Source organism: Homo sapiens, chromosome 1, assembly GCF_000001405.40.
Source record: "Homo sapiens chromosome 1, GRCh38.p14 Primary Assembly".
NCBI lineage: Eukaryota > Metazoa > Chordata > Mammalia > Primates > Hominidae > Homo > Homo sapiens.
In genome coordinates, this window is record NC_000001.11 from 204,431,938 (window position 1) to 204,447,249 (window position 15,312).

At 48.1% G+C, this 15,312-nt stretch overlaps 1 protein-coding gene across 3 annotated transcripts in view, besides 1 other annotated feature; it reads right to left on the bottom strand.

Moving 5' to 3' along the window:
- The window catches only part of PIK3C2B (phosphatidylinositol-4-phosphate 3-kinase catalytic subunit type 2 beta), a 72,173-nt gene that overhangs the window by 9,305 nt on the left and 47,556 nt on the right, over window positions 1-15,312 (bottom strand). For 2 of the 3 annotated variants that reach the window (NM_001377334.1, NM_002646.4), the window contains 12 exons: window positions 14,019-14,207; window positions 12,394-12,487; window positions 12,131-12,225; window positions 11,480-11,660; window positions 10,589-10,696; window positions 9,534-9,626; window positions 8,255-8,384; window positions 6,998-7,134; window positions 2,502-2,671; window positions 1,856-2,012; window positions 1,379-1,488; window positions 263-464 (listed from right to left, as the gene is read on the bottom strand). In NM_001377334.1, the coding sequence (NP_001364263.1) occupies window positions 263-464; window positions 1,379-1,488; window positions 1,856-2,012; window positions 2,502-2,671; window positions 6,998-7,134; window positions 8,255-8,384; window positions 9,534-9,626; window positions 10,589-10,696; window positions 11,480-11,660; window positions 12,131-12,225; window positions 12,394-12,487; window positions 14,019-14,207 (1,666 nt within the window). The remainder of the gene's footprint in view (window positions 1-262; window positions 465-1,378; window positions 1,489-1,855; window positions 2,013-2,501; window positions 2,672-6,997; window positions 7,135-8,254; window positions 8,385-9,533; window positions 9,627-10,588; window positions 10,697-11,479; window positions 11,661-12,130; window positions 12,226-12,393; window positions 12,488-14,018; window positions 14,208-15,312) is intronic. The other variant, NM_001377335.1, reaches the window with a different exon arrangement.
- Window positions 14,704-14,753: an enhancer, noted in NCBI's record as "active region_2364". NCBI's record gives its function as "activates an Ori minimal core promoter by ATAC-STARR-seq in GM12878 lymphoblastoid cells {active_cell/tissue: GM12878}" and the evidence as "EXISTENCE:reporter gene assay evidence [ECO:0000049][PMID:35858748]".

The following is a 15,312-nucleotide window of genomic DNA, read 5'->3' on the forward strand; positions in this document are numbered from 1 at the left end:
CACATACACAGGAATCTAAAAGCAGACTTCCCACATATGTTGCCAGGATCCTTGACTCAGAGGGAATAACCATCCAATTCAGCTACCCAATTCTAGGCAGATCACGTGAGCAAAGGAGAGGGAAGTGGTCCAGGACTGCTCCCAGCACAGGACGCTCGGTCAACTCCTGTGCCCACTGTGCAAGTGTGGAAAAAGTCAGGATCCCAGCAAGCCAGGGTCAGCAGAGAGCAGGAAAGGGGGTCAGATTGGAGAAAACACTTACATAGCCTTTGTTGGGGTGGAAGATCTTCTCATGGCGGCAGAGGAAAACATCACTGATTCGGCCAGAGCTCTTGAGAGTGTGTGTTCGGGAGGCAAAGGAGAGGGTCAGCCGGTCATCTGAGCCCGTGAACTTCATCTGAGCCAGATTATGGATGAAAAAATTGAGCTTTGTGGCTACACTGCCCAGGCTGGACTCAATCAACCTGGCAGGAGGATAAGAAAAGAGGATATAACCATGAACCCAAATTCCTGCTGCCTCGACAGGGGTGTTCCAAGGAATATTCCTGACTCCTGAGACTAACAATCAGCTCAGATCAAACCATTTTCCTGTGTCATATCCTCATAAAGCAAATGACTGGCACACAATAATCTCATGCAATTTGCTCATGTGAACCCCAGGGTCTTATCTCCTCCCCTGGCTGCCCACCTGAGCCAAAAACCATCAAACCAAGGTAGAAAGGAACTAGGAACTCACTCTCTCTGTGTAAATGTCTAAATATCAAAAAATTTCAAGGTTCATTACAATAGAACCTCACCAAGCACTGTTCAATCTCAGATTTCAATTCAGCGGGAGAGGTCCTGTGTTAGGAGACCTAACAGAGAAAGTTTAATTCTCTGAATTCCAAAAAGAGTGGAGAACATTATCTACAGGGACCACATTTTGCAGGCATTCATAGATAAACACATCCTTGCTTTCACACACAGTGTACCTAAAAACATTGTCAAATATGAGGAGACTGAATCATGGAACTCCATGTTCTGGCAAGGGGGAAGCGTCTGACCAAGAAAGTTAAAAGTTATTACAAAAGCCACATTATACATTGCCCCATAGACAAAGTATTTGATGGGACCTAGTGAGAATGTAGATAAGAGTGATGGCAATACCCTTGTGTGCAAAGGTTAGCACCAAAACACAGATGGGAAACCAAGGCTGAGAGAAGCAAAATGATTTACCTAAATCACGGGCAAAGTTGGGACAATGTATCCACGTGGTCAGCTCTAGGCTCTAGCATCTGAGCTAAGCTTTTCACCTTTCCCCAGTCCTCCTCCTGCCAATCCGGCAGGCTGGGAATTACTCAGGGTGGGCAGTGCTGATTCGCTCAGGGAATCATTTTACCTAGTGAAGTAGGTAGTGGCATTGGCCTCTGTATCCTGAGGCCTCAGGGCATCGTACACATACTTGAGGTCCTCCAGGTCTGAGAGTTCAGGGATCCCACAGGACAACATCTAGAAGGAGCAGAAAGAAGAAGAGAGGGTGCCTGTAACAACAGAGAATTCTTGCTGCTTCTCTACCCTTAGGCAAGGTTTTCTACAGCTAGGCTCCCTAACCCTTCTAGAGGGTGGTAGACAGATGCTGTGGGCAGTGGCTGGAGGGCCACAGGAACTGAAGGGCTGGAGCAGGGAGTCAGGCACCTACACAGACATCATTGTCCTCAGGTAGTCTGGGTCCCTGCCTTTATCTAGGGCAGGCAGGTATTCAGTTGGGGCTCAGAGAGGTAAATCTCTAGAAATCCTCTGCGGCAAGACAGGGAAGTCTTAAAGATGATGCCAGATAATAAGAAGAAGGTATTCGGAAAGGGATGGAGCTCCTCACCAGGCCCAGAAGGTTGAGGAAGAGGTGGGTGTGCTTGCGAATGAGGTTGTAGGCTTGGCAGCAAAGGTCAACAAAATCATGGAAGCGGCTGGAAGGCTTGTCACCCCCGTTGATGACATACGCCATGTCCGAGGTGAAGACAAAGGGGGCACGGTCCCTGAGCCAAGGGGAACATACAGGTAGAAGGTCAACATGGAGGAGGAAGCCCACCATATGGGCTGCATCAGGGGTCAGTTTCCCTCATCCCTCATCACGTGGACACACTGGATAGAAGGGGCTCTAACTTTTTTCTTTGTTCCTTTCCTACCTTAATCTTAAAAGATCTCTATATCCTTCATTGGTTCCTTATCTGTGAGCTGGCAATATTTTTTTCTGGATATCTGATTGCATTCCTTTTTGCTACAGTTTGGTTCATTTCCCTTTGTTCAGTCCTTGGTAGGGAAGAACAGCTGGTCCCCGCATTCTTCTGCAAGGCCCTGCAAGGACTTGACCTCTTTATCCGTCTTCTCTCCTCCAATGCTGCTCAGCCCTGGGACCATGATCTGAGGCCCAGCTGCTTCCATCATGGGCTTGTGTCCCAGCTCTGAACCACTGTTGCTCACCTCCTTGCCCTTCACTCACAATCTGGCTTCAGGAGATCACTTACCGCTTGATGTTGCCAAACATCTGGGCATGGCCCAGGAAGCGGCCAAAATCAATGTGGAACATGTGACCAGTGGTCTTCAGCATGATGTTGTCATTATGTCGGTCACAGATGCCCAAGACGTACGTGGCCACGCAGCAGCCAGCGCAGGAGTAGATAAAGTTCTCCACAGCCTGGGAGGGGTCAAGGCAGATGGGAGGAGAGGACATAAAGCTGGCTTGGAAGGACTCCAGGGGCCACAGCCAGACAGAACTCAGCCAGCCCTGGCCTCTCTCTCTTCTGTGAACCCCAATAGTGTCTCACATCTGCCTGTTCATCCTTCATCATGTACTAACTTACACACTTACACACACAGAAACATCTCCCATGTCTTATGGAAAAGATGGAGATTTATATGTATATCTTCACCACTTCATCTGAATACCATCTTCTCCTTTCTTTCTCCTAGGGAGATCGGTTGGAAAGACAGTGGACTGATCCAAGAGCCCAGTCTTGATCAGCCCAGACTGAGGGGACCTTAAGAGATGGGAAGACTGACATTTACAACTTCCCCAACTGGCCGTGATGATCTTAAGTACAGCCACTGAGGAAGCCAACTTAAGAATCTCTTCCTGACCCTGCTCAGAATTCTATCATCCTTCTTCCTGCCCCAAATAAAATTCCCATTTCCAGAGTTCTTGGTAACAGCTAAATGCTAATCTAATTAAAGTCACTGCACTCCAAAGAAGAGCTGAGGCAGCTTAACACGTCTAGAGAGTGTTTTACACTTGAAAATGGGACATCTTTAGTTGGTAAAATATGTTAGAGATATTTCTGAGTTTAAAGCAGGAGAGGAGTGGTGAGGGGTTGACTCCATCTTATTTTGTCTGGTCAACATCCATCCCCTTATCTGTCTTTCCAGAAAGAAAAACTACATGGAATGAGGAAATAGACCACTCCTGCCTTCAAAATCCTCTTCGTGAGGTTTATAGAATTCCTAAGAACTCAGGAAAGACATCAGCAGAGAGCAATGATCGTCATAGCCAGGTAGGAATGCATGAAATTAGGAATGAGGGAAAGCTTACTAGATATGGAATGCCCGCCCTCCTTGCCTCCTTCCATAAATTTCCACCCATCATCCTTCAATGACCTTGAGTCCCATAACTTTCCAGACCTTCCAAGCTCATACTGACTTCTCCTCCTCTGAACCCCTACAGATGCACTGTCACCTCCATTCATACAGCACTGACTTTGCCCTTTCAGTCCCATGGGGTTTACAGATCTGTTCTCCTAACAGCTTCTTGCCTATTTCACAATGCCTATTGCAAAACTAGCTCCACACAGAATGCACCCACCCAGCTACTTGTCGAATTACAACCTGATGATGGATCCACCAGAAACTAAGAATGGAAAGGTTATAAAGAAATCACAGCATTCATCTTCTGGAAGAAAAAGACTATTTCTTAGAAAGTAAAATAAATGAATAAAAGCACTTAATAAGGAGCATAACGCGTAACTCCCAGTCGTGACCTGGATCTCTATCAAATCCTCTCCCTGTCACAGATGCTCTTTCTACCTTAAATGAATCCTATTTTGGCTGAGAAAATAGCTGTGTGCCTGTGGGTAAATGACTAAACTCTTTTCACCTCCCTAAGTTATGCAGGGTGTTAGCCACTTACTGGCAAGAAGTCTCACTCTATAAAGGGACACTCTGCCTCTGATTTCAGGGGTTTCATGTGTAGGGTGTGGGATACTCTCTTGCTGAGTAGGTGGCCAAGAGAAAATACCTCTAGTTTCTTTCTTCTGGAAGTCATCAAATGAAACTACCAGCATTGCTGGGGGTGGTGGCTCATGCCTGTAATCCCAGCACTTTGGGAGGCTGAGGTGGGTGAATCTCTTGAACCCAGGGGTTCAAGTCCAGCCTGGGCAACATGGCAAAACCCCATCTCCACGAAAAATAGAAAAATTAGCTGGGCATGGTGGCACATGCCTGTAGTCCCAGCTACTTGGAAGGCTGAGTCAGGAGGATCACATGAACCCAGGAGGTGGAGGTTGCAGTGATTGTGCCACTGTATTCCAGCCTGGGTGACAGAGTGAGACCCTGCCTCAAAAAAAAAGAAACTACCAGCATTATTCTTGGAGAAAGGCTAGAAGGGCAGAGAAGCTATCTTTGAAAGACTGAGATTAAACATGAACATGCAGAGTTAGTTTCTCTCTGTGTGTATTCTCGTACATTCTTCTGTACATTTATTTTTATTATATTCTTATACATTCATCTGTACATTTATTATTATTTAGTATTATTTCCATACATTTACACATATATGACTATTACATTGGCAGGGAGTAATCACAACTCCAGCACCTAGTACAGTGCCTCTGCATATGGGTGTTTAATACCTGAAAAATGCATATTAGCATAAAGAGTAAGTATATGGGAGGTTGGTAGTAGAAAGGAAAAAAATCATTACTCCTCTCCAAGGGTAGAGGGCCTTGAAATGTATAGCATAGAGTGGCAGAGTTTTGAGGAATGAGAAGGGAAGAAATGACTTTCCAGGCAAAGGAAATATTACTGCCTACAGTACTGCAGAAATGAAAGTAGTAGCCCCCCCTGCCCCCACCGCATGATCTAGCTAGTAACCTAGCTGGAGCATAGGTTAGCATAAGATGGTAGGTTGCAGTGGATGGGATTACAGGAGTCAGCAGGGCTGGATTATAAAAGGCTCTGTGTGCAATGCTATCTGTTAGGATACACAGAGGCTTTGAAGAACTTATCCACACTTAAAAAAAAAAACAACAGCTGGGCACTGTGGCTCATGCCTGTAATCCCAGCACTATGGGAGGCTGAGGTGGGTGGATCACCTGAGGTCAGGAGTTCGCGACCAGCCTGGCCAACATGGTGAAACCCCTTCTCTACTAAAAATATGAAAATTCGCTGGGCATGGTGGTGCACGCCTATAATCCCAGCTACTTGGGAGGCTGAGGCAGGAGAATCGCTTGAATCCAGGAGGTGGAGGTTGCAGTGAGCCAAGCTCGTGCCATTGCACTCCGGCCTGGGCAACAAGAGCAAAACTCTGTCTCAAAACAACAACAACAACAACAAAACACCTCTGAAATCAAGCAGAGGCTGGCTCTAGATGGAGGAGAGGCATTCCAGTGGTTCAGGGGACCGACAGCAAAGAGCTGAACAAAATCAATGGTAACAAAATAGGAAGAAGAGGACAGATTTGAGAGATAGCTGGGAAGAAGAATAAACAGAGCATGGTACAGAAGTGAGATAGAGGGAAGCATCAGGAAGACCGTGGCTTTGGCTTGGGTAAATGCACAGAAAGAGTCACACCATTGACTGATAGCAAACACAAAAAGCAGGTTTCAAGAGGCAAAGGAGAGACAGCAGGCTCAGTTTTGCCTACACCGAGTTTGAGACGTGGGTGAAACGTAGGTGGAAAAGTCCAGCAAGAAGGTGGCTATAGAACCACCTGGAGGAAGGGAAGAGGGCTAGAGGAATGGCTTCGGAGGTCATCAAGATACAGGTGGTAGTTGAAGTAATAAGAGGATGAGCTGGCACAAGAAGAGTGCAAAGAGGGCCCAGCAGGCCAGGAATTAAGCCCCGGGGAACACAAACACTGAAAGCCATTTAAGATCATCTAATTACACATTCACTAAACAATGTTCTGATTATACCTTGGCTGCCCATGCTGGTTTTCCCTCCAGGATAAAGTACATTGATCAATATAAATCAGTATTTGGGTCCCTTGAAGTTAAAATTATACGAATTAGCATTCTGGCCTATAGCCAGTCTCTTGTGAGTTTGGTTATTGTGATTTGTTCCTTCCCAGTGTCCCTACTTTCCTCAACCTAATTAACCCAGAGACTAGAGTTGTGATGCTGGGAACAGGCCACGGACCCTAGCAGGCTACCAGGGCCCTACCACCCAGGAAAGCTCCACTTCTAATCTAATCTTCTTTCATCAGGAACCAGCCAGCCCTGTTTTCACTCGTCTCTGTCTCATATCTAACCTCAATCCTAGCTTTGAGTTACAGCCTTGCCACATATCAGCTCCATAACTAGGAATGAATGAGTGAATCTTAATTCACAGCTATGAAAAGAAGGGGCTGGCATAAAATGATCTCTAAAGTCTCTTCCAACCAACTCTTTTTCTAGAAAGTACCACTGAACCCTCTGAGAACATAAGGGAACCTGAAGAGGATCCACAACTGGGAGGGATACAGATAGGCTCTCAAAAGCTGGCGCCTCCTCCAAGACTTAATCTGCCAGGAGAACTCAGTGAAAGTTTCTCAGTCCAGCATCAGGGGATTTTCTCAGCCAGCTTACAAGAGGCATTTGAGTGAGTCACCCCCAGATATTTGGAGGCACCAGTCAACCAAGAAAGGGTAGGTCCTTCTGCCAACAAAGCTGAGCTGTCCTCTCTGAGCAAGTGCAGGTCTTGTGGTTAAAGAGCTGTGTGCCGGCATCAGGCACACACACACACCAGACGCACTCCCCACCCACAACCCTACCTTCTCATACTCGTCCTCCCCAGGGTTGTGTTTCTGCAGCCAGTCTGCCAGGGGCCGGTCCTTGAACGAGCCGGTCACCCCATGCTCCACCTGGATCTTACGCAGGGTCTCAGCATTAGGGATCATCTCCACCATCCCTGTGAGGGGAGAAATGGGGGTCACGTTCCAGACCAGAATGAAGGGGACTGCAGGGAGAGGACTACAAGGACTGTGCTCATGCTTCCCTATAAATTAAGCTGTAAGGCATTTGGACTAAGTCTGATAATAACAGGAAGAGAATAACCATAGAAAGGAAGGTCATTCCCACATTTCCTATTCCATACTGTGACTTTTTGGTCTCTCCAGTTCATAGCTGCTGCTCCCTTTGTTTTTAGCTTTTACTATGGGAATTTGAAAATATATATAAGAATAAAAAGAATGGTATCATGACTTCACATGTAACTATCACCCAGCTTCAAAAATTGTCAACATTTTGCTAATCTTGTTTGCTAATCACACAACCCTATTTCTCCACTCCCTGCCACCTTGGTTGGAGTATTTTAAAGCAAATCCCAGATACTTTATTTCACTCATAAATATTTCAAGTGTAATTAACAAAGACACCATGCCATTGTCACATCCAAAAAATTAACAATCACTCTTTAATCTAACTCAATCTATATTCAAACTTCCCCCAACTGTCTCTCTCCTTCTCTCTCTCTCTCTATATATATATTTTCACACAGGGTCTCATTCTGTCGCCTGGTCTGAAGTACAGTGGCACCATCATGGCTTACTGCAGCCTCAAATTCCTGGACTCAAGCGATCCATCTGCCTCAGCCTCCCGAGGAGGTGGGACTGCAGGCACATGCCATTAGGCCTGGCTAATTTTTTATAATTTTTATTAGAGATGAGGTGTCTAGGTTGGTCCCAAACATTCCTGAGCTCAAGCAATTCTCCCATCTCAGCTTCACAAAGTGCTGGGATTACAGGCATGAGCTAGCATGTCTGGCCCAAAAAATATTTCCTTACAATTGGTTTGTTTTAATCAGGATCCAAAGTCTACACAATATGCTTGGCTGTCACGGCACCAAGTCTGTTTTACTTTATAACAGTCTTCTCCCATGCCTCCCTTTTAAGGCTATCCCACAGCTTCTCATGAAATAATCTTGCCCTTTTCACTTTCCTGGAGGAGGACACAGTTTGTGTTGGCAATGGGCAGAAGGACAATAAGCAAAGCGGTCCCCTCCTCCACCCTCACCCCTACTCCCAACTGACCTCTGCCCCGGCCGGTGGAGAAGCAGCGGAAGATGACCATGCGCATGTCCAGCCCCTCCTGGACCCAGATCTTGCTCATGATGCGAATCATCTGCAGCGTTAGCATGTCCTGGCGAAGGTCGTCCCCACACTGGATGGAGGGAGAAAGTGACCAGATCTAATCTCCACTACCTCCCCAGCTCTCAGGTCTCCCAAGTGCTCAACCTTGGCCCTAAACTAACAGTGACAGGGAGTTCCCCAGCCTCACACCCCTGACCTGCTCACTCAGCTCACACCAGGTCAAAGATGGCCCAGGAAGCTTCCCAGTTTGCCCATGTGTTGTTCCAGCTTGTCCTGCAATCCCATGGCCCCATCTGAATTAAATTCACGGTCTGCTTCTGCATGCAGCCCCTCTGACCATCAGGCCTTTTTTTTTTTTTTTTTGAGACAGTGTCTCACTTTGTCACCCAGGCTGGAGTGCAGTGGCACGATCTCAGCTCACCGCAACCTCCGCCTCCCAGGTTCAAGTGATTCTCATGCCTCAGCCTCCCAAGTAGCTGGAATTACAGGTGCCTGCCACCACGCCCAGCTAATTTATATATATATATATATATATATTTTTAGTAGAGATGGGGTCTCACCATCTTGGCCAGGCTGGTCTCAAACTCCTGACCTCAAATGATCTGCATGCCTCAGCCTCCCAAAGTGCTGGGATTATAGGCATGAGGCACCACACCCAGGCCATCAGGCCTTTTTTAAACTTGAACGTTTAGACTTTGGATTTGGAACTTGCGCATAGCAAATATATAAGTTACTAAGTCACATGCATGTATTTTGTCTCCCCCATTAGATTATATGCTCTGAGACTATCATTTACTTCTCAGAATTGTGGATACATCAGAGTTAGAAGGGACCTTAGGGTTCATCTAGTTGGACCTGCACCTGATATATTAATTTCCTCTTCAGCAGCCCTGCCACATGGCATTCAGCCTCTGCCTGAATACCCAAGGGACAAGCGGATCACCACCTTACCCAACCCATTGTTGAGGGAGCTCTGCCTCCTAGAAAGCACTTCGGGATACTGAGCTGCCAGTTGCCTCCCTATACCTAACACTCTGTTGTTAGGCCTCTGGGGCCATGCAGAATTCATCTAAATCCTTTTTCACCTGATCATCTTTCCTACATTAAGACAGCATGGAACAGTGGGAAGAGAACCACCCAGGGGCTACTTAATGCCACTCTAGGCTGCCTCCTTCTCTCTCCCACCCTGGTCCACCAGGCTTGAGTAAAGTATTCTCACCTTGAAGATGACACGGATGTTCTCACCCAGGGGATCCACATTTTGGAAGGAGAGTTTGAGGGGGACAGCATTGGAGTTGAAGTAGGAACAGTCCTGCCATGGTGAAAAGATAGTGACGAGGGTCAGAGTGGCCCATGCCAGGAAAGGAAAACGACCTCTCCACTTCAGACCAAGATGCTGCCTCCCCGCTGCTGCCGGTCCACCCAAGACCTGCTCATTGTTTCTTCCGGATTTCCCAGAAACCCAATTTCCTTCCTTCTCTTGTTAAATAGTCATCATCCCAATTCAGTTTGTTATGACCTCAGCTCCAGCACTTAACCTCCCATCCTGTTAGTTCATTCTGCGCACAACTTACTAGTTGTGTGACCTCTGGTAAGTCACATGTCCCATCTACACCTCAGTTTACTCCTCTGTAAAAGGGGACTCCCAATAGTACCAACATCCTAAGAGTTGTGAAGATGAAATGCCATAACCAACATTAAGCACTCAGAACAGGGCCGGGCACAGAGAGTGCTCAATAAATGACAGATGACAGCTGCTATCACCACCACCACCTCCGACTTCATCCCCAACATCATCAGAGAAAGACACCTGCCTAGCCGCCCAACCTCCAACCCAATTCCTCTACCCTGCAAGCTGTCAGGCTTCTAAAAGTCCATACACATTAGGAATGGGAAGAGGCCACAGATATGCCTTTCTTCCTAATCTCTCTCTTATTTTATGGCTTATATGGAGATGCTCACCTGTGCCCATACCCCCGTCTGTGCCCTCATTCTGTCTTTAAGCAGAGTTCACAGCCCCTCTGCCTCGTTTCTCCTTTCTATTTCTGCCATGTGTGGGTAGAGGAGAGACAGGATAACATAATCCTCACCATGTTGCATGGGGGTGAGCTGAGACCCCTGAGGAAAAGATGCTAGGCCAAGACCACATGGTAAGTTAGCAACATACTGACGCCCAGACAACTCAGCTCCTCGACCTTGCATGCCTGGTTAGTGAAGACCTCACCTCCACTGAGCCCTCCCACTCTGAGAGCCCCAAACCTACCAGTCACTCACCCTGGGCACAATTCCCTTAACCAGCAGACTGGGGCTGAGTGGCAAGCGGCACGAGCCATTGAGGGCAAAGAACTGCTTCACCTCCTCCAGGCCCGTGCGGAGGATTCCCTGGAAAGAAGGGGAGGAGTACAGCAGGGGTGAAATGGAGGGTCCATACTGAGAACCAGACCTCTCCCAGGGGTGGGTTCTCCGTAGTAGTCGGTATGAAAACCACCCCCTGAGAAGTGTGGACACCCTCCAGAAGATCCTTAAGGAGGAGGACCCCCTACACCCCAGCCTGGGACTGTACGCTAACAGCAAGACCAAATAGCTCTAGAGGGGAGCAGATGGCAGAACAGCATGAAGCAGGCCACAGTGCACAGAGAGGGCAGGCTGTCTCTCAAGGGGGAAGAGCTATTTAGGCTTCTGCCAAGAAAAGCTAACAATCTGGACGTTGATACAAAATCTCTCAATTTTTAAATGTCGTTAACCAGGAACACTGCTGGCTGGTTACAATGTCTTCGTACAAACAGATAAAGGTGTCCTCTCTGGGTGGCATCAGGCCTGAGCCATGGGTCACAGCATGGTGAACAAAATATGGCTGGATTTCAGCCCTCACTTGCCCCTTCTGGCTGAGTGCTCTTGTGCAATGAACAACTTACACAACTGTGCTTAGCCTTTAAAACAAACAGCTAAATAAATTTCAATATTTTACAGGACAAACAAAACACATCCACGGGCTGTATCCAGCTTGTGGACTGCCTGTTTACGGCCTAGTTTCCAGAGTCAGCTGCTCCCCGCTCCAAAATCAAAAATCGTCACGTGGAATCTTGTTGTTCAGGATTCCTAAGAAGAAACTGGCTGCCAAAGCCCTGGATGAGAAATGGGTAGGGGCAGCCTCACCCCACTAACCTGCCTTGCAGATGGGGCTGCCTCCCGGACCTGCTGGGCCAGTTTGGCCAGGGCATTGACAAGCCAGCACTGGCGGTTAAACTCTTCTCTCAGCCCCTTGCCACAGCAGCACAGTAAGGCTGCCAGCAGATACTGGTAGCGGATGCTGAACTGAGAGTCCTTGAGGCCGTCCTTCAGTAACCTGCAAGGCAGAGGGAGTCAGGAGTCAGGGCACTCCAGGGATCAAAGGCAAGGGTACAGGGGGAGACAGAGTCAGGCCCAGCTCCAACTCACTGCAAAACCCACCCCGAACTTGGGAGGGAAAATACATTCTGTATGTACGGCTCATATGGAGATGCTCACCTGTGCCCATACCCCAGTCTGTGCCCTCACTCTGTCTTTAAGTAGAGTTCACAGCCCCTCTGCATCTTGTTTCTCCTTTCTATTTCTGCCATGTGTGGGTAGAGGAGAGACAGGATAACATAATCCTCACTATGTTACATGGGGTGAGCTGAGACCCCTGAGGAAAAGATGCTGGTCCAAGGCCACAGGGTAAGTCAGCACATACTGAAGCCCGGACAACTCAGTTCCTTGCCCTTGCGTGCCTAAGAGTGAAATACTCCTACGTGAAAGACACGTGTCTACCTCCCACTTTTCTACATGCAGTTTTACCAGAAGAAGTAGTGAGTCACTCTCAAGTCAGACACAGCTCGTTTCAGGAGGAAGCGCACCAACGGGCTGTCCAGGTAGCATTCATACTTCAGGGCCTGTTTCGGAGAAAGGGAGAAAGAGAATATGAAGCTTCATTAACTGCCTGTAACCTACACTTATTATTATTGCACTGGGATCTCTGGTTTCTAAGGGGCAGAATGCAGACTCACTTGGGATACTGGGGATGGGACCAGCAAAACTGGAGGGAGGACCAATCCACCCACCTGTACCAGCTGGGGCAGGTAGTCTAGCAGCTCAGCATCTGAGAGTGAGCCAATCCACTGCACAGCCATACGACGCACCTCCTGGTCCGGGAAGCTGCAAAACAGAGCCCAGTGCCCTGACAACCTAGCTGCAAGTTGAGGCACAGCTGTGAGCCCAGCACCCTCACACCTGGGCTTCAGAGGCATGGAGAAAGAAAATGCAATGGCCCTAGATTCTGCTAAAGTCACTAGAAGAATCCTTAGCAACTTCCCTGGATAGCAACCCTTGGGAATGAGCCTTCCTCACGGTCAGAGTCTGCCTTGAGCCATGGGGGAACAACTAGGTAGCCACTCTCACTCCTTGGAGGATTTAAAGAAAATGGGACAAAGTCCTCAACCTTACTCCAGAGATTTCTCCCTTGACTCCCACTGTGCCAGAAATTCCTGCCATTGGAGGGCCCTGATGTGGGTAAAAGCATTATTTTGTCTTGTTAACATCCTTTAATGCAAAATGTACCACGCAAATAACAGAAAATCACAGTATTTTATATAAGCCAATAAACCTTGGCAGAATTAGTTTAGCAGAGATTAACAAAACCATTGGCTCAAAAACTCCTTAAGGCAGGTCACATGGATAGGTACATTTTGATTACTGAGAGTGGCGAGAAATAAGCAGGAAATCCTGGGTACCATCTAGAAAAGGCAGCCCTAACAGATCTAAGACTGGAAGCCTTGGGTCCCAAGAGAACCCTTCAAGAGAAAGAGGGAATGGGCAATGATTAAAATAAAACTAAGTAATAAGGATTTCAGTTACACAGGCGTATGCATTTGTCAAAACTCAGCCAATGTACAGGTAAACTTTGGGTATTTGCTTATGTATAAATGTTGCCCCAAAAGAAAAAAAAAAAAAAACAGAACAAACATCGAGCTCTAGTTAATGATGTGCATGCCAAAGCAGGGAGTTTAATGGTGTCTGTAATTTACTTCAAAATGTATAAAAAGGCTGGGCATGGTAGCTCACACCTATAATCCCAGCATTTTTGGGAGGCCAAGGAGGGAGCATTGCTTGAACCCAGGAGTTTGAAACCAGCCTGGGCAACATAGTGAGACTTTATCTCTACAAAAAAATTTTAAAAATTAGTCAGGTGTGGTGGTGTGCACTGTGCACTTGTTGTTCCAGCTACTTGGAGGCTGGGGCAGGAGGAGTGCTTGAGCCCAGGAGGTCGAGGCTGCAGTGAGCCATATGCATGCCACTGCACTCCAGCCTGGGTGACAGAGCAAGACCCTGTCTCAAAAAAAAAAAAAAAAGCATAAAAAATAAGATGGATAGATGGATGGATACAGTGATGGATAAATGAAATGTACACAATCCAGCACACAGAGCAAATGCTAACAATAGAATCTAGGTGGTAGGCACATGGGTATTCACTGTACAATTTTCAATTTTGTTGTATGTTTGAAAAATGACAATATAACATTGAAGGGAAAATGAGAAAGAAAAAGCAAAAAGGAGAAATGGAAAATCCCTGAATATCCACACCCACTTTACCATTTTCCCCAGGGCTGGCTCAGATCACTGATGGGCAGTGTCGTGCCCTGGCTTCTACAAGAACACATAGTCAGAAAAGGCAGATGTTACAACTCACGTGGCATGCAGGAGCCCCAGGGCATCCTGGTGGTTCATGTGGGTCCACTGCTTCAGGAGAACATAGATGTCAGGCAGGCAAGCCCACTCCCAGCTGGGGGCGCTGGCGAGCACCAGGGGGAGCGAGCTCACCTCCGAGTGGCAGTAATATCGCTTCTCCCACAGGCGCTTCTTGTCAGCATCAGTGAGCCTGGTGGGCACACGGAAAGGAGAAGGTGGTGGGAGGGTAGGGGGCAGTGAGAGAGAACAGCATCAGCCAGGGGGTGCAGCCCTTACCCTCAAGGGAGTGCTGCACACACTGCAATTCAGCGGTTCCCAAGCTTTGCTGCATATGACACCCACTTGAGGGGCTGAGTGAACCCCCTCGCCATGCCTGGGTCACACCTGATACCAGTTAAGTCCAAATGGCTGGGGAAGCCAGGCATCAGTCTATGCCACAGATCACCAGGTGATTCCAATATGAATCAAAGTTTGGGAACCAGAGCCCAAATCCTATCTTTGATCCCAACTCAGGGACATCTTGGATGGAGAATGCATGGGCCAAGGGCACCGAATCTGCTACCCCTCCTGCGGATGCCCTGAGGGCACCACGCTCAATAGAACCACCAGAGGGCAGTGGTCCCCCAACACCAGGGTCTGTGCTGCTGAGAGGCCTCCTGGGGCCTCCAGGGACCAGCTGTCGGCTTTCAAGGACCTGCAGCTAATTGGGCCTTGCCTGAGATCAGGTGTCTAATGGGAGAAGGGAGCTGAGGGTCTAATGAAGTGTAGTCGGCAGAGTGGGGGAAGGGAGGTCTGCGGTCGCTCAGCTACTCCAGCTACTTGGGGTGGACATCAGGGACAGAGATGAGCCCCATCTCTCTCATGCCCCCACACACACAACACACGCACAGGGCTGCGCAGGAGCCAGAGAGGTAAACAGAGAGCAGACAGCGGAACCAGGTCCCTCCAGCTCCTCCAGTTCTGTTCTCACCCCTCCTTCTCCAATCCTGTGAAAGCAGCAGCCCCAAGGATGAGATCAGCCTGGACTCACGTACCCCTGAGAGCTGCCAGCTTGCCTTGACACCTGATCCTTTTTGGAAAGTGACAGGGCCAGAAAAATTCAAAGGCTGTTGGTGTGGAAGGGGCAGGAGGTGAGAGCAAGAGGTGGGGGCAGGGTGGTGGGGCCAGCTGCCCCAGTGGACAGAAGGTAGTAGATAGCACATCTGGGATGTGGGGCAGAGCTCTGGTCCTCCTGGGTAGCTGAGTCTGGACCAAGTCCCTGGGGTGGGGACTTGGGTATTCTCAGATCTAATTTC